Source organism: Homo sapiens, chromosome 11 (genome assembly GCF_000001405.40).
Source record: "Homo sapiens chromosome 11, GRCh38.p14 Primary Assembly".
Lineage (NCBI taxonomy): Eukaryota > Metazoa > Chordata > Mammalia > Primates > Hominidae > Homo > Homo sapiens.
The window spans coordinates 76,027,370-76,052,301 of record NC_000011.10 but is presented as its reverse complement, the minus strand read 5'-3'; the positions used below and the strand labels follow the sequence as shown (position 1 = coordinate 76,052,301).

Here is a 24,932-nt window from a genome sequence, read left to right as displayed (position 1 = left end):
ATCATAACCGGGGGGATGAAGGAAAATGACCACTGTGGATGCTGTTTATTCATTCAACAAGTTTTCAAAGAACTCATACTATGTGCCAGGTATGGTGTTAGGTGGTAGGGATATAAGGCTGGGCAAACACAAACATGAGGTTAAAGTCCAGTGGGTTAGACAGATAGTGCTCATATAATCAGCCTAATAAATGAGATGGGTAGGTGCTAAAGGAAGAAATGTTCTGGTTAGAGGAAGCAGCTTGTGTAAAGGCCCTGTGGAAGGAGGAGACATGCTGCTTCAAGGATTGGCAAGAAGGCCAACAGAACTGGACTGAAGGAGGAATGGCAAGGGACGACTTTGAAGTTGCATAGGAAGGTATGTGACAGATTAGGTAGGGCCCTCTACACACACCACGCCAGACCATGGGCTGATCTCTATCCTAAAAGTCCTCATGGAAGAACAAAAAGAGGAGTGATTGTTTTTTCCTCCTTCTTTGGGGGAAGAAAAAAGAGAAAATATGAGACGTATGTGCCAACCAAAAGAGGTTAAATTTGATATAACAGGAAATAAAATATCACCCCAAAGTTTTTAAAGGAGAAATCATGTAATGAGAAGATTTACACCAGAACATTCTCTTTGCCAATATTATATACAATATTTTAGACAGAGCTATACTAAAAAAAGAATGGAATTTCAGGGAAATTGAATTCCAGGTAATTTTAGTAAGAAGGTTAAAAATAATCCCCCCTCCTTTTTTTTACTTGTAAGTTGCAGGGCTGTGGAAATTGTTAAAGAACTCAATATCAATTTCCTTATAGAAACCTTCCAGTTTTTCCACACCCTTTTTGTAACTGTTGAAAAACAGTCCACAGGCAAATTTCAGTGAACAGAGTAAAATTAAAGGATGGAAACCATGTCTTTTTTTAATAGTCAATTTTGTTAAATAAAAATTCTGCCAAGCAAATCAAAATCACATTCCACAACATTAACAGCCATCCTGCATTTGCCTGGATTTAACAGCACCTGTTTCCCACAAAAATCTGTAAATGTTAAGAAAAAAAAAAACACCAAATCCACAATTAAGCATGCAAGGTGCATAAATACTTGGTAATGCCAGAAGATATTTTCCATCTGGAACATAAATTTGGAAGAAAACCTATTCACCACTTGAAATATCTAAAGACAACACTTCACAATGTGTGCATATAATATTGATTTGCTTAAACGTATCAGGACACCTAATTCTATATTGTCTATAAATTGCTTCCTTATACAGTGCTGATAACAGGTACTCAATCCTTTATATAAAAATTGTTTATTTAATTTTTGTGCTGATACCTATTTTGAGATGAGAAGAGGAGAAAGGCAAAAGGGCTATTTAGGTACAATAAGTTAAGGCTTTGAAGTCAGAGGGACAGAACTTTGTTATTCACTTGTGGTATGAACTAGAACATGCTACTCTGAAATTGTTTCCAAAACTCTAAAATAGGTTTAATAATAGCAATCTTTAAGGATTGCTGTGAAAATTAAACAAGAAAATCTATGACTCAACCTCAAATCTACATAACAAAATGCATTTAAAAAAAATCTATGACCCAGCACAGTTAGTAGGATACAGCAGGCATTCAATTATTATTATTACCTTTCTTAACGGTATGCTTGATTTCCCTTTTCTTTTCCTCCACTCCTATCTGTAAGTGTCTCAAGAGAGACAGCATATTTTATTCATTTTGTTGCCTTCTGAAATCAAAAAGTATTCTTATGCACCTGGCACTTTCTACTCAATATTTTATACAAATGTCTGTTTATACAAATGTCTTACTTCCTGAATTAAAACGCAATTTCCTTGAGGACATGGGTGTTAAGCTCAGATTCTTATTGAAAGTGGGTATTCAACAAATATCTGCAAATGAATGATTAAACAAATGAATATATTAAGTAAATACTGAAGGAGAACTAAGTAACATATAGTTCTGTGAATTAAAAAACAAAACACAGGAATCAATACGGAAGATTTCAAGATTCAGGTATGTTCTTATTACTCTTTCTTTCTTGGTTTTAATATACCTAGACAACCAACTCTTATTTTTAGAAAGTGCTTTGAGTTCTGCTCAAAAGAAAAATTATTTGGTTGAGAGAAGATCCTAAATTACAGAATGGTGTTTGCCACAGATTAACAGCAGGTAGAGCCGTCTACTATTAGAGCAAACGCCAGTGAGTACTGATAAGATGACAGCAATAACAATGATGTTGATGCTGGATTGCATTTATGGAATATTATTATGCAGCAGGTATTGTACTTATTATACTTTATCTATACAATCCTAGCAATTGTCCTGCAGGCACTATTAATTTAGTGCCCATGGTCACATAGCGTTTCCTAACACTCCACAACAGCCACCCATCTCCAATTCACTTCACCCCTGCCCCAAGTTTGAATCAGTTATTTCTCCCCATGTGTCTTCACGAACCCTGTACAATCCCTAACAGGGTACCTTTGACACTGTATTGTAGTTGCTTGTTTATTCCTTGAATCTTCCAAAGGAATGTGAACTATGAGCCGAAGTCCTTACTGATGCTGTATCCCAGTTCCAAGAGCCCTGCATCTGGAACACATTTATTTGTGGAATGGAGGGAGGGGTGAATGTATGGGTGAAGTAGAAGTGGCGGAGCTACTTCCAACCCATGCCTGTCTGACTTCTAAGCCTCTGCTTTTTATTCTATTCCATGCTCTCCATCAAGTAATAACCCCATTTTGTAAAGCTGTATTATTTGTAAATTTCATTTCATACAAGATTTCTATTAAAAACTAAGGGATTTCTTCTCCCCACAAATCAGATGTTCATATGCCAAATCACTGCCAAATTTACCAAGTGATTTGATAAGCTGGCACTCTGAAAACCATCAAATCTACATTTTATGTTTAAAGTCAAAAAGGCAAAGATTGTCAATACCAATAACTGTAGATCTCATTCATGTAACTTCCATAGTCCTATTAACAATATTATATACATTATTGCTTTTGGGGCTTAAATAAATGTGGGTAGAATATTTGGAAAGTTTTTGAAAAATCCACTGTCATGCTCAGGGTCAGATTCCAGCCCCAGCTGAGGGCTGAGCGGAGTGGGTGGATGTGGGGCAGGGAGCTGGAAGAACACTCAAGAGACAGCAGGTAGATGAGACATGGCTTTATTCAGCAGCCCCTTCACAGGGTTAGTGTTACATTTATACACTACACAAACAATAGCGGCTGAGAGCCAGGTGGGGAGCTTCTCTATGCTGTGTCTACATGGCTATGATTATATAAGATATGATACTGTGCGCTTGCGCCCCAATCCCGCTGAGTCATGTGGGCTGTTTACCTCGGCTTATGCCTGCTGCCCTATGCCTGCTTGGCTGCAGCACAGCCATGTTCCTTACATCCACTTAATTCCACTAAATCAACTTTTCAATAATGGTGTGCATAAATCTGTTAAACTACTTAAGTTTTAAAGGCTGATTTTAGATCATCTATCATAAAAAGCCTAAAAACTTTACCTGCTTTCTGGATGTCAATGCTCAAAATTACACACATAAGTTAGCTAAAGTCAGTTTTCTAAAGTGAATATGCTGTCTAGGAATTGCATTATATTCAGAATGTATTTGAGAAAGACATATTTCAATGATAAAATTGCAAAAGGAATCACCTCAATTCATCATCTTGCCCAATTTCAGAGCACAAAAAGACAATTTAGAGGCCCCTAAGTCATTTTGTTAAGCATGGACTTCAAAGGAGAAGGAAATTCCAAGGATCACTGATCTGACAGCAACCAATGCAAACATCTAGGTTGTCATAGTCAATCCCCTTTAATTATCAACAAGTTTTTACCATTTCTGACCAGTCATTTGGAGCTGACCTCTGACAAGTACTTACAAGTCATCGAAATCTCATTTTATTTTATAGCCTCATATTTGTTATTGGGCTAATCTTTACCTGTTCTGCATCACACAACAGCTTAAATATTTGAATGGCCCAGCAATAAATTTCCATGGTCCCCCTGGGTCAGTCAGATGTTAGCTGTTAAGTAAAGCTAAAAGGATCTAGGCTTCATAAATTTCCTTCAGGGCCCACATTTGCTCTTACAGGCTAGGCTTTCAAGCCCAAACATCTTTATAGCTATGTGCAGTGATTTATTAACTCCTCCTTGTTTTTATCCAAAAAGATCAATCACATATGTATCAATCAGCCAGTGTGCTGGTGACTGTTTTTTATTGTACATATAACCACCTGCCTTTAATACAAACTTGTGTCTCAAGCTTTTCTAAGTGCTTGCTGGATTTTAACAACCTTCACCTGTTTCTAATTTGGTATAAAACATATGGTTTAGTTCTGCTATTTAGTTCTAAGCCAGCCTTTCCTCTTTTGGACCCAACAATATAAAAGAAAACAAATCCAGGGCACAAAATTCTAAAGTTGGAGGATGTTACACATGTACACACACCATAATGACTTGCCCAGTTACTTCTGAAAAGCATCTTCACAGAGAAATATTTTATAGTTGTGAAACAATTATACTTCTTTGAAAAAATTAGATGTGTCCTATATTACTCTTGAGGGTTCTAAAAATTACGTTCAAACTGTGAAAATGACAGTTTAATCTTAGTGCCTCAAAAAAGATAACAGCTATACCTAGTAGCCTATGAGGTTAGGAAAGAGAGTTCCTATCTTTATATTCGGGAATCTACATCTGGCCAGGTGAAACCAATATTTTCTTTTCCCTTCCCTTGTCCTTCTCTAAATTAGACCAAAAGTTTAAGAGGCAGGGTGCCAGTGGGGAGAGAACCACAATATAACTCAGCATGGTAAAGTCAATACTAAAATTAAGGGTGTCTGGGTGATAGGGCAGGGAGGAGAAAATCCTCAGGAAGAAATGACTAATATAAATGTCTAGGAGAGGCAGAGAAGTCAAAACAGCCTCCCACAGCTCCACCAGACTTCTTTCCTAAACACATCTCCTTTTCCAGTGATGGTGGGATTGGACAACACTGGCCACAGCTGGCACTGAACCTCCTCTTCAGATTGCTCCCACCCTTCAGGGCCCAGTGCAAATGTTCTATCCTCTCTGAAGCCTTCCCCTAGTCCCAAAAGAAGTGAGGTGCTTCTATGAGATATCAGTATTTATTCATCATTTGGGAGCAGGTAATCACATTAGGCTTTGTTTTACAATCATATGTTTACATGTCTGTCTCTTGTACAATGGTCTAACAGAGCAGGTATTGAATAAATGTTCACTGAATTGTATTGTTAGTTTGCAAAGACTTTGTACAAATGAAGCCACCAAAAGCACACTTAAAAATCAATGTTTTTTTATCAAAATAAAACATATACATGGTTGAAAAAACAAAATGTTCTACAAGCCTGATACTAAAAACATTAGTTTACATGTTTATTAGTTAAAATACCCTAGAGCTTTATCTCCATTCCTAGACCTCCAAGCTTATTATTCTCATCACTTTAGGCTGCTTTTTCCCCCTGGTATTTTCCCTCTATGTTTCTAATTAATATCCTTTTATTCCTGTTTCTCGACCCTATGGCTTTAAAAATGATCTACTGACAATATACTGGGGAAGATGAGGATATAGCTCTCTTACACACTGCTTCCCCACCTCTTCCAAAATACCTACACTTCCCCTTCCTCCAATCCATTCACTAGGGTCAACATCATAATTTTTGGTTAAATCAGTATGCAACATTACAGTATTATAACCATGTTATTTTTTTGAGCAGAGCCATATAATGTATCATATTTTAATTCTTTTAAACTTGGTTTTCCCTGGAGTTAATAACAACCTAGTTTTTTCATTTGCTAAATTTACGTACCTCTCACTAATTTATTCCCAGAACCCCTGGAAGCAATGAAAATTCCCTCTTGCTATGGTTAAATCCTCTTTCAGTTTCACTCTTTCTTGGTGCCTTCGATCTCTTGCTCCATTGGCCAGTGCGGGGGCTGATCATCTATGGTTTCCCTTCACCCTGAGATCCCTCCTTTTCCATGAATAATGTTTTCTTCTTACTTGGTTTATTCCTTTATATTAATAGAGCACATCTTCCAGAAGTTTCCTAGGAAAGGTGCATAGGACTTTCATGCCTGAAAAGTCTTTTTTCTACCCTTTTATTTGACTGATAGCTTGATTTAAATATAGGTTATAGAAATAATTTTCCCTCAGTACTTTGAAGGATTGTTCCATTGCTTTCTAACTTTCAGTGCTGCCTTTGAGGAGTCGGATATTATGACTCCTATTCCTTTGTATGTATTTTTTTTTCTCTGCAAGCTTTTAGAATCTTCACTTTACCTCTAGAATTCCATAATTTCACAGTGATGTACCTTAGTGTGGGCTTTTAAAATGTTATTGTGCTAGGCACTCACTGGGCTCGACTCTTTCCATTTGAAATCAAGTATTTTAATTATTAGAATTTTCTTGCATTATTATTTGTTGGATAACTTCCTACCTTCCCTTTTCTGTTTCTTTTTTGTACTCACTGCTATCTGGATTGTTGGATCATCAAATATTTGAGGAAATCCTCTAATTTCTTATCTTTTCTTTCTTATCTTTGATCTCCGGCTTTTTTTTTTTTTTTAAGAGAAAAACAACTTTACCTCCAGCATTCTGTTGAATTTTTAAAACACTTCCTTCATTTTAATTTGCCACGCTTCATCTTTTCTAAATGTTCATTTTTATATCATCTTGTTTTTGTTCTTGGACATAGTACTTTCCCTTGTCTCTCTGAGGATATTATTTAAAGTCTCCTAAAAAAAATCCCAACAAACTATTGATTTTTATTTATCCCTATATTCTTTCTTTCCTCCACATTTCTTTTTCATGATTTTGGCTTCTCAAGTTTCCTCAAATGTCTGGTAATTCTTTGGTTAATCATTTTTAAAAGCAAGGCACTAAAGAGCACACATATTGAAAGATGTGCATTGACAGAACTGGCCAAAAGGCAGGTTTCACTCTGGGGTTATTAGCAGAGAACTGGAAATTTCATATGGAGATGTACAACTCTAAGAAGCTGTATGTATCTTCTCTTGGATCAGTTTTCCACGTTCTTATATGTACAATCAATTCCTTTTTTCAGCTGGCACCTCTGCCCTCAGTTATGCTAGCTGTCTCTGAATCCAGCATTAGTCTAGTTCGACCTCTCTAGAGTAAACATCAGGTTTTCTGCTGGTGAAGTGAAAGGTAGTTGCCTGAGAGAGGTTGTCAGGGTATACTGGCTTCTAATACAGACTTCCAGACATACCCGACTCACCTTCAAAGACTCCTGGCCTCCAATTCTGAGACTTTCTGGACTTCTGCAGCATGAATCAGCTTGCTTCTTAACCTTCCCCCTTGCGAGCTCTTAGATTTTCATTTTTCCAGTCTGCTACGTCAATTGCTACTTTCACCTGCTGTTCAGTTCTCACAATTTTGTTGATTTCACAGTTTCTCTGCTCTGGAGGTTGCCTCTCCTGTTCCTTACTTATGCTTTTTAAAATTTTTTTTCTTTCTTTTTTCTTTTTTTTAGGAGATGGAGTCTCGCTCCGTAGCCTAGGCTGGAGTGCAGTAGCACAATCTCGGCTCACTACAGCCTCCGTCTCCCAGGTTCAAGCAATTCTCCTGCCTCAGCCTCCCGAGTAGCTGGGACTACAGGCACATGCTGCCATGCCCGGCTAATGTTTTTGATATTTTAGTAGAGACAGGGTTTCACTGTGTTGCCCAAGCTGGTTTCAAACTCCTGAGCTCAGGCAATCTGCCCGCCTCAGCCTCCCAAAGTGCTGGGATTACAGCCGTGAGCCGCGGCGCCTGGCCTGCTTTTTAAATTTTAATCCGTATACTGTTATTTCATTGGCATTTTGGTGAGAAAAGATAAGCACATTTGTTCAGTCAGAAGTTTGACATTTACTACTAGTGATTAAAATAGCAGCCTTTGTTTCCATGTCAGGCTCTGTGTGCTGGGCTTTATATGTACTGGTTAATTCTTAAAACAACCCTGTGACAGAGACTGCTGATTGTGCCCCAATGCCCATTCTCTTCTTCTGTTGTTAACAGAACCCCTGAAGTTTAAAAGCCACTTAGAAAAAAGACATTTCTCAACCTCCTACAGAGGTCCTTAGAGGAGTCCTTAGAGGAGGGAGGAATGCCCACTTCCTGTTGGCTACATAATGACTGACATTCCAACAACCATCTTGGACCATGAGGGCCACAATCCAGGGATGGCAGAGCAGAGACCTTGAAGCAGCCTGCATTTCCTGAAGCATTTACGGAACTGCCACTCCAGCCCTGGATTACTGATCCCTGGATTTTTATGCCTGAAAATAAAATTTTATTTAAGTCATTGTTAATTTGAGGTTTCCATTACATACAAACTCCACAATGACACTATTCCCCATACTGAAGCTTAGAGAAGTAACTTGCCCAGGGTTAAGGTGACAAAGAGCTGGATTCTAACTCAGGTCTTACACCACAGTGTGTATTTTTAACCAAAGACTTTCTTTAAATTATTGTATCTTGGAACACATACATATGTATGTCATAATTTGAGGGTTGAGCATGGTTACTATCTCAAGAAATAATACAAACTTGGGAGTCAGAATTCTATGTACACTTCTACTAGACATAAGAATAATTTGTTTTATGAATTTTACTTAGCTAAATGATGGAAACATATGTTTCTGTATCATACAAAAATACTTACATAAGTTTTTTGCCAAATTTGAATATACTACTAGAGACACTCTAATTTAAAATACAGACTTTAACCCAGACATATGGGTGTCCTCTAGAACATATAACTTCCTATTGAAGACACATACCAATATATCAAGATGTTCTTTACAAAAACCTAGTGATTTCAAATATAGGTCCAAACAGAATGTCACAGTAGCTTATACACAGTAAAAGCCCACTAAGTATTTATTAAATGAATATAAACAAATTGGCTTTTGATTCATTTGCTGAGAAATATTATTTCCCAGTTGCCCCTCAACTTAAAATAATCACTCCCTCATTTTTGTTCCTGATGAGCAACAACTCATCTGATACTTTTTCTTCCTTTTTTTAAAAAAAATTAAAGAACAGTTTAAATAATACTACCCACTTCATTTTAAAATTAGAGAATAATGACCTACATACTCACTACGCAGAGTTGACAACAGATATTATTTTTTAGTTAAAATAAATAAAACATTACAGATCAAGTGAGCCTTCTTTGTTTACCAATTCAGGGACTCCCCCTTCCTCCATTAGTTAGGATCATTTTAACCTCAAGTGACAGAAAAACCAAATCACTGATTCAAAGAAGAAAAAGAAATGGCTAACTCAGAAACTTTATTACATTAATTGGGACCCAGGTCTTCCCATCTTTCCACTCTGCCATCCTTAGAAAATTGGGCAAGGCCCATTCATGATCACAGGATGGTTGGTACACAATCAGCTCTCATCTGTAGAGACATCTAGTAGAAAATGGCAGACTTTTCTCCTGTGTGTCTTTTTTAATATATAAACTTTTTATTAATGTATAACATACAGATAGGTAAGGGCAAACTCCCTTAATGTTCACAGAATTAATACTTTTATGAAACCAGCACCCAGACCAAGAAATTGAATATTACCAGCATCACAGCCACGTGTCTGTCTTAGTGCATAAAACTATTCCCAGCAGTACCCCATAGAACTGGCCAGAATTGTGAATCAACTCCTAAATCCATCACTGTTGAGTGCAGTGGGATCACATGATTAGTAAAAAGCCAATTGTAGTTCACTCCCTGGCACTGAGACTGGAACCCACTTTCCACATACCCAAGAAGAGAGTTAATTACTAACAATAGGGACCTCTTGAGAAACAGGAATGACCATGGTTAGGTAACCAACAGCACCTGTCATATCTTCTCTCCACAAGCCACTCCTTTTATAATTTGGTTAATATCTGTGTTTACTGCTTTTTATACTTTTAAAATACAAGTGTTTCTATGAAAAACAATGAACCATACGTACCATTCTGCAACTTACTTTTTTTCACTCCATAGTGTTTTCTGAAAGCTATTTTTGTCTGTGTGTGTATCTAAAATATTCCTTTGAACTCCTGATTAGTATTCCATCTTATGGATGTTCAATATTTTATTTCTCCACTCCCTTACTAAAGGGGATTTAGGTTGTTTCTAATTTTTTCACCAGTACAAGTAATGATGTACTAAACATCTTTATATGCCCTCCTTTGAGCAAGTTTCTCTAGGGGACAAACTTCTAAACAGTATGTACTCGAAACCGTTTTACTAGATTCTGACAAATTGTTGGTACTGCTAACCCTAGAGAACAACATGTAGTCTTGGAAGTATTTTTTCTTGAACTCTCTGTGACACAATTTGTGAATATAATGTAGATAATAATATCATTAATCTCATACTGCTTTTGTGACAATTCACGTGTAGAACAGTACCTGAAAGATCGCAAGAGCAACTATAATTTTCTGAGTGATTACTATTATTGCTATTAATCTTTGTATTACTAGAATATAATATAAGGCCTGTTTATATCCACTGTAATTTTTTAACTGTGTCAACCTGGCTAAGCTGGAAGTATTTACCAGAAGACGACTGCCTATATGGATCCAGGTTACAGATGAACAAAAGATAAATTTGGGTAAGATTTGGAAGATAGAATTCACTTCATTGTCTTCCAAAGATAATAACTGGCCATGGCAGCAGCCACTACACTGGCATGGTGGCAGGGCATGGTGTTAGACACAGTAATCCACAGATGCAAGGCTGCTTGCAGATTCCATTTGGTGTCTGTGCTTCCATTCTGCATCTAGCTCTTCTTCCCAGCTGCTGGCCCTGCTGACCAATACCAACTCCCTTCCCACTATCAGATGCAGTGGCAACAGCCTTCCATAGATGTCTCCACCTGCTCTCCTCTGGGGTTCCACGCAGCAGCTGGATATACCTCACTTCCTACTTCTTTGCCTGAGTTGTCTACCTGCACCAGAGCTTCAGAAGGGCTGGGGTAGTGACTTTTCTCTGATCTCCAAGCCCTGCTTTTGCACTCTTATTTCTGTAGCTTCTTCCACAATTGCGTACGATCTTGTCCCAATAAATCCATCAGACCATAATATTCACACTAATTCTGCTTTTCTGACTGAAACATGATTGATACAATACCCTTTGATAATTTTTTAATTGAGTGGTTTGTCTTTTAACCATTTTCCCTAAGGGTTCTTGCATTGGAATTTTTTTTCTTTTTTTGCTATTTATGTGCTAAAATTTTCACTCACAAACTCATTTCTGATATACTTTCATATAATTGTTAATCAGTCTTTCTAGGGTTGCAGTAATGTGCATGATATTCTTCTTATTGTCAAGTAACTTCAACCAAACCCTCCTTGTCTGCTGATTGTTACCGTGTTTTCTATTTCCACTTAACACTTGCATTTTAAAATCCAGTGTGTTGGCCAGGCCCGGTGGCTCACACCTGTAATCCCAGCACCTTGGGAGGCCAAGGCAGGCGGATCACAAAGTCAGAAGATCGAGACCATCCTGGCCAACATGGTGAAACCTCGTCTCTACTAAAAATACAAAAATTAAGCCGGGTGTGGTTGCGCGTGCCTGTAATCCCAGCTACTCGGGAGGCTGAGGCACGAGAATTGCTTGATCCCAGGAGGCAGAGGTTGCAGTGAGTCGAGACCGCGCCACTGCACTCCAGCCTGGCAACAGAGCAAAACTCCGTCCCCGCCCCAACCAAAAAACAAAACAAAACAAACAAACAAACAAAAAACCAAAAATCCAGTGTGTTGTGCATCTTCTATTTCTTTCTTTCCTTTTTTTTTTTTTTTGAGATGGAGTATCACACTGTCGCCCAGGCTGAGTGCAGTGGTGTGATCTCGGCTCACTGCAAGCTCCACCTCCCAGGTTCACACCATTCTCCTGGCTTAGCCTCCCAAGTAGCTGGGACTACAGGCGCCCGCCACCATGCCCGGCTAATTTTTTGTATTTTTAGTAGAGACGGGGTTTCACTGTGTTAGCCAGGATGGTCTCGATCTCCTGACCTCGTGATCCACCATGCCCGGCCGCTTCTTCTACTTCTTTGCTGCAGATCTAGTGCTGTTATTTGCATACTTTAGTTAGTCTTTATGGGTCAAAGTTCTTCTACTTGGCTATAGGCAGAGAACACTTGATAATGCCCAGGGAAAAAAAGATTTACAATATACTGCAATGAATTATTTCAAATTCAAAAACAACTTAAAAATATATATACAAATAGTATTATGCCAAATCAGAGAAGCATAAGGCATAGCTAAACAAGGTATGTATATATGTGTGTGCATCCATTTATTCAGAACTTTTGTGTTTTTCACTATCATTTTTATAATGTTTTATATTTTTCTTTGATAAAGGTCTTTCACCCTTTTTATTTATTTTTTAAAATTTTGAGGCAGAGTTTTGCTCTCATTGCCCAGGCTGGAGTGCAGTGGCACAATCTTGGCTCACTGCAACCTCCGCCTCCTGGGTTCAAGCGATCCTCCTGCCTCAGCCTCCCAAGTAGCTGGGACTACAGGTGCCCACCCCCACATCCGGCTAATTTTTGTGTTTTTAGTAGAGACAGGGTTTCGCCATGCTGGCCAGGCTGGTCTCAAACTCCCAACCTTAGGTGATCCACCTGACTCAGCCTCCCAAAGTGCTGGGATTACAGGTGTGAGCCACTGCGCCTGGCCTCACCCTTTTTATTAACCATATTGCTAGGTGCTTGTATTGTATTCATTTTCAGTTTGTAAGCTTTTTTTCCCTTTTTTCAAATATGTAAACTTCATTTCTTTTTCTCATATAATTCTATTGGCCAGGGCCACAAATACAATATTTTATTGTAAAGACAACTGGCATCCTTATGTGCCTTCTGATTTTAGTGGAGTCCTTACAAAGTTTCACTATTAAGTCTAATGCTTGCTATAGGTTTGTGATAATCATCTTTTGGCATTTTAAGGAAATTCCTTTCATTTTCTACTTTACAATGAGTTCTTATAACAACCACTACTACTATTATTGGCCAACATTTGATGCTTTACCAAGTACCACATATATTTTCCATGTATTCACTCATTTAATCCACCTAGATACCCTATGAAGTGGGTGCTGTTATCTCTCCATTTAACAATGACAGTAAGGCACATAGGGTGATCAAGTAACTTGTCCAAAGTCACACAATATATTAGTTTTCTATGACTGCTTTAAAAAATAAAACAAGCTTAGCAGCTTAAAACACTCATTTACTATCTCATGGTTTCTGTAGGTCAGAACTCTAGGCACAGTATAAATGAGTTCTCTGCTCAGGATCTAAGAAATCTAAAATCAAGGTGTTGGCCAGGCTTCTCATGTGTAGCTCAGGGTCATCTTCCAAGCTCATTCAGGTTGTTGGCAGAATTGAGTTCCTTGTGGTGGTAGGGCTGAGCTAGTTCCTTGCTAGCTGTCAGCCATATTTCACTCCCAGTTCTTAGGAGCCACCCTCAGGTCCTAGCCACATGGCTCCCTCCATGAGGAGTTCTGTTTGCTTTCTTGTGGGCTAGCAGAAGAGCATCTGCTACTGCTTCTTGGCTCTCAAGGGTTCACTTGATTAGGCCAAGCCTACACAGATAATTTTGCTTTAAATTAACTCAAAGTCAAATGGTTGGGAACCTTAATCATGGGAGGAAAATTCTATTACATTCATCTCTCAGTATCTGTGGAGGATTGATTCCAGGACCCTTGTGGATGCCAAAATCCAAGTAAGCTCAAGCCCCTGATATAAAATTTGTATTTTAATATAACCTACAAATATAACTTATGTACATAAGTCCTGTATACTTCAAATTATCTCTAAATTACTTATAATACCTAATACAATGCAAATGCTATGTAAATAGTTATGTCTGTTGTTTTTAAATTTGTATTTTTTTTGCAATTTGTATTTTTTTTTTGCATAAACCATGTCCCCAGGAAATTTGAAAGGAAGCAGGTGCTGAATGGAATTTTTTTCCATTTTCATGAACTGTGTTAATTCTATCTCCAGTAGACCTAATGCTTGAGTAAGCAAGATGTCTAATCAATAAATTATTTTCATGCTCACAATTTCAGGTTTTTGTACTCCAGCATAGCTTGGTCTTATTTCTTACTGTATGAAAGCTTAACAGCAATGTGATTTAAGGTTTTGTTTTGTTTTTTAAGTGGGAGATGTAAGTGATTTAATTCATGGGTACTTCTAGAACCAATAGATAATCCCATTGCCTTTAATTTTCTAATTAAAGAATTCCTAAATACTTTGAAAATAAAAAAAAAATCTGTATTTTTAAAATTTTTGTATTGTTACCTTTTGTTTGTTTTTGTCTAAATATTTTCTATCCGTGGCTGGTTGAATCTGCAGATTGAGAGGGCCGACTATATATTCACAAGTCTTGCCCACACTGAAGGGGAAGACATTTATACGGACATGTACACCAGGATAATGGGAATCTTGAGTGCTGTTTCAAATTCTGCCTACCATTTACACTAAATAACAGTCTGGATTCAAACTCTCATTATCTGGTTCCAGAATTTAAGTACCCGCCCCCACCACCCCTTTCCTTGCGACAGGGTCTTGCTCTTTCACCCAGTCTGGAGTGTAGTGGTGTGAACACAGCTCACTGCAGTCTCAACCTCCCAGGCTCAAGTGATTCTCCCACCTCAGCCTCTTGAGTAGCTGGGACTTACAGGTATGCCACCACGCCCAGCTGATTTTTTTTTTTTTTTTTTTTTTTTGTAAAGACAAAGTCTTGAAATGTTGCCCAGGCTGGTCTCTAACTCCTGGGATCAAGCAATCTGCCCGCTGCAACCTCCCAAAGTGCTGGGATTACAGGCGTGAGCCACTGCGCCCTGCTGAGAATGTATGTTCCTAATCAAAACGTATATTGCCTTTCTAAATAAGTATCTAATTTTATTGAATGCTTTTTTTGTATCTATTGAAATGATATGATATTTTTCTTAATCTGTTAATGGGTGAGTTATGTGGAAAGCTTTTTAAATGCTGAGCCATTGACTCATTCCTGAATTGCCAGATTCAGCTTGCATATGTTTTGTTTTGTATGTCTTTCATACAAAAGTGGCAACTTAGTATGAAAGATATTTGTCTATAACTTTTGTTTTCTTCTATTGTCCTGTTCAGGTTGTTTTATCAAATTCACACTTATTCAGTTTATTAAATGCCTTCAAGGAAAAAGCTGGCTTCAGTGTTCACCTTATTTCTTTAGGTTCTTGCCTTTACTCAGTTTTTGACCTAAGTATTCTTTATTTTCTTGTGAACTAATAAATATAATTAAAGAATTTGTTTTTCTCAAGCAGTTTCAGTGTTGGTCAAGATATCTATGCTACTATACTCTGGAAGCAGCTCCTATTCAGTTTTCCCATTTCTTTTTGGATCAATTTTGTTATTTTATATTTTTTTCTAAAAAAGACTATTCCACCTACCTTTTAAAAACTGTTCACAGTATGTTCTTATGAGTTTTCAATCTGTGTGGCACATGTGTCTCCTTTTTTTGTTCTTAATATTGTCTGTGTTTTTTTTTTTAACTCAGCCACCATGTTTTGAATATTTCTTTCTTGCCATGTCTTCTAATCTTTATTCCTAGAATTCCCCTTAGATATATGTTGACACCTCTCAATCATTTTCCATGTCCCATAACTTCTTTTATGCACATCCACATTTGAAACTCATGACAATGAATCATGCATGGTATTTCTAATTTAATTTTCTTTTTTTTTGAGACAGGGTCTCACTCTATTGCACAAGTTGAAGTCGGGTAGTGGCAGGATCATGGCTCACTGCAGCCTTGACCTCCTGGGCTCAAGTGATCCTCCCACTTCAGCCTCCTCAGTAGCTGGGTGCCATCACACTTGGTTAATCTTTCTATTTTTTTAGGGATGGGGTTTCAGTATGTTGCCTAGGCTGAAGTCTCAAACTCCTGGGCTCAAGTGATCCTCCAGCCTTGGCCTCCCAAAGTGTTCAGATTACAGGCATGAGCTGCCGTGCCCAGCCTAATTTAACGTTTTAACCTTTCATTTCATTGGCTAGTTGAGAGGATAAACACTACTCACTGTTCCTTTGCTTCAGTTTTGTCAAACAACTAGATCCTGATTTAGTATATTTTTGCAGGAGTGAGAACTAAACATTAAATAGATATTCTGAGCAAAGTAAATTTTAAGTTGATCCTGAAACTTTAAAAAGCTCTTTCCAGTCAATTATCGAGCCTTTACTCTTAATGACAAATTGACACTTGAGACAGGTCCCAAACCACCTATGAACCAACCTTATTTTTGCTTAAAATCAGATTGTACTTCTTTCTACCCCTAGGGATACCTAATGAATCTTGCAATGTATTTACTCATGAGACAAGGGCATGCCAGGTAAAGAAAGGAGTGTTATTAAATAAAAGGCATGAAACAAGGCGATTTTTGTTATCTCTGAAACTAGATAATAAGCTGATAGTATGCTCACTTTCTTAGTCTGTTTCATAAAAATATATGGCATGAAGTATATTCATATGGTAGATATTCAGCAGTATTTACAGAATTTACTTTAAACTGTCCATTTCTTTTAAAGACAGAACATTTTTAATTGTTGTTACTGTTCTTTACTAAATCACAAAGACCTATCAATAGAACAATACCTGTCACATACTATGTACTAATTAAACATTTAATGAATGCATGAATAGGTGAACAGGTTCATTTGTATATTTATCATTCTGAGACTGTGACTCTTGATTTTGAATTAGTATTTAATAATACAAAACTGAGTTAAGTGTCTATTCCAAATTGCATACTACAAAACAGGGCAGTTTCCAATTAAAATAATACAAAAATAGAAAAGGAAATTTCTTTAAACCAAACTGCATCATCTTAGAAAGGAATACTATCTATCATTTTCTCATAGAAATTGCTGAGTGAAATAACATGCTATTTACCAAATTCCTTCTAAGCAACTATGAACCTCCCATTTTGTGATTTATACAGAAACCACCAATACAGAAACCAGAATATAATACAAAATTCTTATATCTCTCACACAGAACATGACTCAGCAAATTCAATATTAGGAGGTGGCTTCTAAAAAGTTTTTCTCCTAGTAACTAAGTTTTTAAAGCTGGAAATGACAAAATTGTGTACTACACACTCAAAAATAAATATTCGCTGTATGGAACATCTTACAACAGAAGTTGTCTCAATAAATTCGTCATCTACACATTTAAAAGAGTTTAAGTATAGGTGTCAATCAACTCCAAGAGACCTGCCACTTCTCATTAGCTTACCAACCTTATATTTATACAAATTAAAATAATAAAAAGTTTCCGTTGCTTATTGGTGTGTTTAATTAATTTACAACAGTAAATTCCCATAACTAGCTACAGTTAATACTTCTAGTATTTCATCACTAGACTCTCCACATCATGAACCTGGGAGCCATCATTTATATTAATGGGAGTAACTAATGAGCATCATGGGAAGAATTAATGCTTTTGTAAGTCTTTTTAAAGGTTTCCAATAATATAAATGAATAGCACTCAAAATTCTAGGCATTATTAACACCAGTCTTTGCTCAAAAGGAAATATGGCAAACTGCTACTATAAAATTAAAACCAATCAAGAAGCCAGAACTGGTGTATGAAAATGACATGAATTATAAGAAAAAAGTAACCACCCACATTGACCTTATGTTAATAAAAAGAAAGAAGCTAGGTACAGAGAAACATATATCCTAGACTTTTAAAAAGTAGCCTTTAAAAAAACGTTAAATAAAATAATGGGCCAGGTGCGGGTAGCTCACGACTGTAATCCCAGCACTTTGGGAGGCCAAGGCGGGATAATCACTTTAGCCCAGGAGTTCAGGACCAGCCCGGGCAACACAGGGAGAACTCATCTCTACAAAAAAATACAATTAGAAAAAATAGCTGGGCATGCTGGCATAAGACTATAATCCCAGGTATTCGGGAGGCTGAGGTGGGAGATGTGCTTGAGACCAGGAGGTCAAAGCTGCTATGACTACACTACTGCATTCCAGCCTGAGTGACAGAGTGAGACCTTGTTTCAAAAAAATAGAAATAGACAGAAAATAATGTTGCACAGAAATAATGGCTCTGAAAGGGATAGTACAAGAGGACACAGGCTCTTAAAACAATTAAATATTAGCTATATAATTATGAATAATTCCAAAACACAATAATGGTAACTAAGATATAAGGTTTAAATATCTATATAATACAGACATAATAAATATTTGTAGGATGCATATATGTAACAGCTACTCAACAGACTAGTATATAACCAGGATTGAGGTTCTTAGGTTGAGTGGGGTTCCTGCAGATTTAACTGTATTGTTAAACTGCTTTCTGAAACAAATGAACTGAAACTCTCACAAGCAAAGGATGAGAGTTTCTCTTCCTCTATGTGCTCACTAAATCTGGTACTAAATAGACATTCTAATTTTTGCCAGTTTGATGGATATAAAATGGCATCTCCTTCTGGTTTTAACATGCATTTCCTGATTATTAGTGAGGCTGAGTATTTTTCTTATGTTATTAAACATCTAGGGTTTGTTCTTCTGTAACAGCTTCTTCATATATTATGTCCATATTTTTATTAGGTTGATTGCTCCTTTACTTGTTTATAAATAAAGGTTTTAAAAATATATATTCTGGATCCTGACATTTAGTTAATCTAAAAGCTATGAATTATAGACAAGGTTTTTTTTTCTTAAATCAAACTTATAGACCATTTCTCATAATATGGTCTTGTTTCTGTGATTTAGTTAAGAAATCCTTTCTAAATTCAAAGCCAAGGATTTTTCAAATTCTAAAAACTTATGAGTCTCATTTCTACTGGAATAATATAAGATAAATTCAACTAGAAGGGAAAAATTAATATCGTGACTACTAGGTTCATTTATCAGTATACAAATATTTACTGAGTGACTATTATATGCAAAGGTCATTTTATATAAATTCTCTCTATTCTTCTCCACCTTTCTGTGAAGCCATTATTTTTGCTTTCCAAAAGAGTATTCTGAGGCTAGAGAGGTGGAATAAACTGGTTCAAGGTGTATCTGATGCCAAAGTTCTTTCAGAAGAGTGAAACAGGAAAGCCATGATTTTTCCTTTCCTAATTTAGAATATACAAGTTTTATTATTTAAAAGCCAACATGGCTTATCTCTGTTAGATAGTTACATGTGGAAGAAACTCTGTTTAAATCAAATTAGTCATATATTTATTACAACCAATCCGTGATCAAAAATACTTTATAGATAGGTTTCTATCCTTTGAACAAATGTATTTTAATATTAACCACTTAAAGCTAATCATCTTTGAAGGTAAGTTTAATTTATACTTAGACTAAATATTAATACTCTTCTCTTATACATGTCTCAATGTTAACTGTTCAGCAGTGTAAAGTGAATTCACTTATGAGGCAAGGTGAGAAAGTGGAGGCTTTGGTCCATGGAAAGGTGTATTATCTGCTTTGTGCCAGTGTACGTGTTTCATTACATCTGGGTCACTTGGACAGCTCCTAATCCTATTCCATACTCAGCAGCTCAGATGCTTAGGGGCCATCTCATCAAGCATGCCTCTGCTGACTACCTGCAACCCAACCCTGTGCTGATCTCTAGCATGGGTCTTATTATGTGGAGAATGACTCTGCTGACTTGCTGTGCATCCTGATGCCAGTTCAGAGCCAGGTAACTTTACCTAATTCTAGCATCTTGTGCAGTGACTAGTATGTCCTAGTGCTCAATAAACATGGTTGGCTTTCTTGCGATGTCCCCTCTTACAACTGAACTCTCTTATGATTTAACTATATATGAATTAAATGTTATATCAGTTTTTCATTTTCAATGAATTAGAGAAGAAAAGCAACTATTAAAAACTAATTGATCATTTAATCTGATTCAGAAACTACTTTTGGTGATCATCCTTAATAATTGTAAATCATCCAAAAGAGAGGTATAAAAATATGGTAGTTAAAACTATCTGGATTAAAGAGTGACATAAATTTGTTTTATAATGATACCATTACCCAGGACATAAATGTTATTATCCTTAGAAAACTGTCTAGAGAACTATTATGAGATGCTTTTGGAAGTTAAAATAATTTCACATCTACCTAAAAATAATTTTTACTCTTTCCTTCCATTCATTTTTGTCAGGAAACCAAAATATTCCCCCAAATTACCTACTGCAAACTCTCTGGCTTGATATAATTACCCTCATTCTCCCATTCTTTGCTTACCAAAAAATTCAAACATACAAGAATTAAAGAAAAGAACAGAGCTACTTTCATGCAACACCAATAAAATAAAGCTTTATTAAATTCAATGATTACTTCATATCAGAACACAAAGCATCTATGCTGTCCTATGATAAATAATAATGGACTGCAAATAGTCCATGAACTACTGGCACGCTCACTGATGTGTTGGGAGTCCTGTTGAGAAACACTGATTTCACATATATTAATAATGTAACAGTATTGAATGTGGGACATACCCCACTATTAACTAAATATATTATTCCTCTGTCCAGTCCCCCCAGCCCCTGCAAGCATTACACTGGACTCTATTTTTATTTGAGTATACCGAAAACTAGAAAAGCAGTAAGTTCAGGTTGGGGTCACATGTCAGAGTCATCTGGTTTTCTTTCTTATCCCACTGTCCCATTACATTACTGTATTTTAATTTAGTTGGTTACAGAAAGCTGAGATGACAGTAATACTAGAGAAGACTTCCTCATCCAGATAATAACATCAGCACTATAAAAGCACACTTCATTAAAAACAACACACACAACAATATACCTCCAAGTGTCAGTGATGAAATAGCTGCACAATTTCTCTTGACTCATTTTCCACATTTCTCCTCTCTCAGCGGAATGCCTAATCTTCACAAGGTGTTCATTTCCTGTCTCACCCAGCAGCCACCTTCTGCATTTTTATTTTGTTGATCTTTACTGCCTGAATTTCCATGGGGATTCCTTATTTTAAAACATGTTCTTTGCTCACACCCCTGAACATAACCCCATCAGTGCTGATGCCTGTGCCTTGGATTACAACAGCACAGAAGTTAATAGCTTGCCACAGTCCCAAGGGACTCTATGAAATAATGATTGTCCTGGCCAGAGCATCCAGAGTTAAAACAATGGGTCACAGAGTAGAGTGTCAGATTACCTAATAGAATTTGCAAAAACTGAATGTTCCTTTTACTCTCCTAATTCAAGAAATATTTATTGAGTGTCTACAAAATACAAGCCTCTCTGCAAGTCAGGGAAGTCTGACACCAAGTAAGATGCAGTTTCTACCCTGAAAATATTTCAGACAAGGATAAATAACTCAAATACACTACCTGCATCATTGAGTTGGGCTGTTATTAAATTAAAGTACATATAAAGAACTTCATTTCTGTGATACTATATAGAGAGAATAGTTCACAGGAATCCAAAAGAATTACAGTTTACCAAACTATGGGAAATCAAGAAAGAGCTTACGATGAAAGTTTTGATAATAAGGGAGGGCTTCATGTACAAGCACAGTTTTGATGCTAGAGATGGCTAGGGAGGGCATTCCAGACAAATAGAATAGCATGGACAATGAGTATCAAGGTAGGAAATACTGTGATGTGTTTGGAAAACAACCAATTGTTCAGTCTGACTGAAGCATAGGTTACGAACTGGGAAGGAACCTGGGGATATGACTAAAAAAGTAAATAGTGGGCCAGGGTGAGAACTATTTAGTTTGAAAATGCTCTGCATTCCTTGTAAGAATAAGGGCTTCAGCATTCACTAACCCGTATCTTCCAAGGCACACATGCTTACGTGACTACTTAGCAGACTGTAGACAGTTAACTCTCGGCCTATTTGAAGTACAGACATACACTGGATATATTGTGGGTTTGGTCCCAAACCACTGCAGAAAAGTTAGTATCTTGGCCGGGTGTTGTGGCTCACAGCTGTAATCCCAGCATTTTGGGAGGGTGAGAGAGAAGTATCGCTTGATGCCAGGAGTTTGAGATCAGCCTGGTCAACATAGCGGCACCCTTTCTCTACAAATAAAAATAAAAATAAATAAAGTGAGTATCTCAATAAAGAGTGACTCATACAGTTTTTTTTTTGTTTCCCAGTATATATGAAAATAGCATTATGTTTTAAAAATATCTTTGAACATGTGTTCATGGAAAAAATTAAAGAAAATACAAAATATATAGTTTAAAACAACGTACGTATCTTAGTTTAAAAACATATTATTGCTAAAAAATGCTAATGATCATCTGAGCCTTCAGAGAGTCATAATGTTTTTGCTGGTGGAGGGTCTTGCCTACTTGGCAATAGCTATTGACTAATCAGGGTGGTGGTTGCTGAAGGTTGGAGTGGCTGTGACAATTTCTTAAAATAAGACAATGAAGTTTTTGGCATCAATTGACTTTGCCTTTCATGTAGCATGCAATGCTGTTTGATAGCATTTACCCACAGTAGAACTTCTTTTACAATTGGAGTCAATCCTTCCTCTCAAACCCTGCCACTTCCTTGTCAACTAAGTTTATGTAACATTCTAAATCCTTTTTTTACATCATCTTCACTAGAATTAGGTTCCATCTCAAGGAACCACTTTCTTTGCTCATCCATAAGATGCAACTCCTCATTGTTAAACTTTTATCATGAAATAGTTATTTCTTCCACTGAAGTCTTGAACCCTTCAAAATCATCCATGAGGGTTGGAATCAACTTCTTCCAAACTTCTGTTAATGCTGATATTTTTATCTCCTCCCATGAATCATGAATATTCTGAATCGCATTTAGAATGGTGAATACTGTCCAGAAAGTTTTCCATTGATTTTGCCCAGATCCATCAGAGGAATCACTATGTATGGCAGCTACAGTCTTATGAAATGTGATGAAATGTGTTTCTTAAATAAGAAGACTTAAAAGTCATCCATGGGTTGCGGAATGGATACTATGTTAGCAGGCATGAAGACAACTTCCATTCAGCACTTGTGGGTAACCAGGTGTGTTTTCAATGAACAGTAATATTTTGAAAGGAATATTTTTTTCTGAGCCGTAGGTCTCAACAGGGGCCTTAAAATATTCAATAAACCATGTTGTAAACAGATGTGCTGTCATATAGGATTTGATGTTACATTTATAGAACACAGAGTATAGTTAGCATCATTCTTAAGGGCCCCAGGATTTTCAGAATGGTCACTGAGCATTAGCTTAAAGTTAGCAGCTGTATTAGCCCCTAATAAAAGAGTCAGCTTTTCCTTTGAATCTTTGCAGTCAGGCATTGACTTCTCCTTTCCAGCTATCGAAGTCCTAGATGGCATTTTCTTCCAACAGAAGGCTATTTTTGTCTACCTTGAAAATCTGTTGTTTAGTGTAGCCACCTGCATCAATACTCTTAGCTAGATCTTCTGGATAACTTGCTGCAGCTTCTCTATCAGCACTTCCTGCTTCACCTTGTACTTCTGTGTTCTAGGGATGGCTTCTTTCCTTAAACCTCATTAACCAACCTCTGTAGCTTCCAACTTTTCTCCTGCAGCTTCCTCATTTCTCTCAGATTTCAAGTAACTGAAGAAAGTTAGGTCGTTGCTCTGGATTAGGCTTTGGCTTATGGGAATGTTGCGGCTGGTTTGACTTTTTTATCCAGACCACTAAAACTCTATCCATATCAGCAATAAGTCTTTTCACTTTCTTATCATTTGTATGTTCACTGGAGTAGCACTTTTAATTTCTTTCAAGGACTTTTCCTTTGAATTTACAACTTGGCTCTTTCACACAAGAGGCCTAGCTTTCAGCCCATCTCAGCTTTTCACATTCTTTCCTCATTAAGCTCAATCATTCCTAGCTTTTAATTTAAAATGAGATATTGGAACTCTTCCTTTCACTTGAACACTTAGAGGCCATTATAGGGCTATATTAATTGGTCTAGTTTCAATAATGTTGTGTCTCAGGGACTATGGAGGTTTGAGGAGAGGGAGAGAGATGGGGGAAGAGCTGGTCAGTGGAGCAGTCAGAACACACACAACATTGATTAAGTCTGCCATCTTATATTGGTGTGGTTTGTATTGTCCCAAAATAATTACAACAATAACATGAAAGATCATTGATTATAGGTCACCACAATAGATATAATAATAATGAAAAGCTTGAAATATTGTGAAAGTTAATAAAATGTGACAGAGACACAAAGTGAGCACATGCTGTTGGAAAAATACCACTGACAGACTTGCTTGATGCAAGGTTACCACAAACCTTCAATTTGTAAAAAATGCAGTCTCTATGAAGCACAATAATGTAAAATGCAAAAAAATGAGGTATGCCTGTAAACAGACAAGCCTTCAGACCTACACCAGTTTTTATCCCTGCATTATGGGGAACTTCACTAGTCCTCTGCACTTAGACCATTGACTTAAAGATGATGTACCTCACAACACTATTACAAAAGGAAATACAGTACTTTCCCACTGGATTACATTTTTAATATTCCTTGCCCTTTATTAGGCCCATCTTCTATCTAGCACACAGAATAAAAACTTACATGCCTAGGATTCCTATTGCAAAGCTCAACGTATACATAACAGTAGTTGCAAAATTTTGTTAAGCATTTTCTGTATGCCAAGCACTGCGCTTATTTAATCCTTACAACAACCTAGTGGCATAGTGACATAGGTACTATGCCAGGAGAACCAAGACTCAGAGAGGAGAACATTGCCACAGTCACTCAGCAATAAGAGAGAAGCCAACATGACCCCAAAGTCCAAAATAATTGGAAATAAAAAACAAAAATTTTGTCAAGTTTAAATTGGAGGCAAGAGAGAAAAAAAGAGATGCATTTTGCACCATACCTTTTAGAGAAAAAACAAATGTCGAATGAACTAACTAATAAGTGTGATT

General features: G+C 36.9%; 1 protein-coding gene across 10 annotated transcripts in view, besides 2 other annotated features; it reads right to left on the bottom strand.

Moving 5' to 3' along the window:
- The window catches only part of UVRAG (UV radiation resistance associated), a 329,023-nt gene that overhangs the window by 91,931 nt on the left and 212,160 nt on the right, over positions 1-24,932 (bottom strand). The window lies entirely within an intron of this gene.
- Positions 2,727-5,309: an enhancer, noted in NCBI's record as "VISTA enhancer hs1435". NCBI's record gives its function as "enhancer in: limb[11/11] | nose[9/11]" and the evidence as "EXISTENCE:transgenic organism evidence [ECO:0001131][PMID:17130149]".
- Positions 19,470-19,670: a silencer, noted in NCBI's record as "peak1353 fragment used in MPRA reporter construct". NCBI's record gives its function as "represses an SCP1 promoter by STARR-seq MPRAs in K562 erythroleukemia cells {active_cell/tissue: K562}" and the evidence as "EXISTENCE:reporter gene assay evidence [ECO:0000049][PMID:32103011]".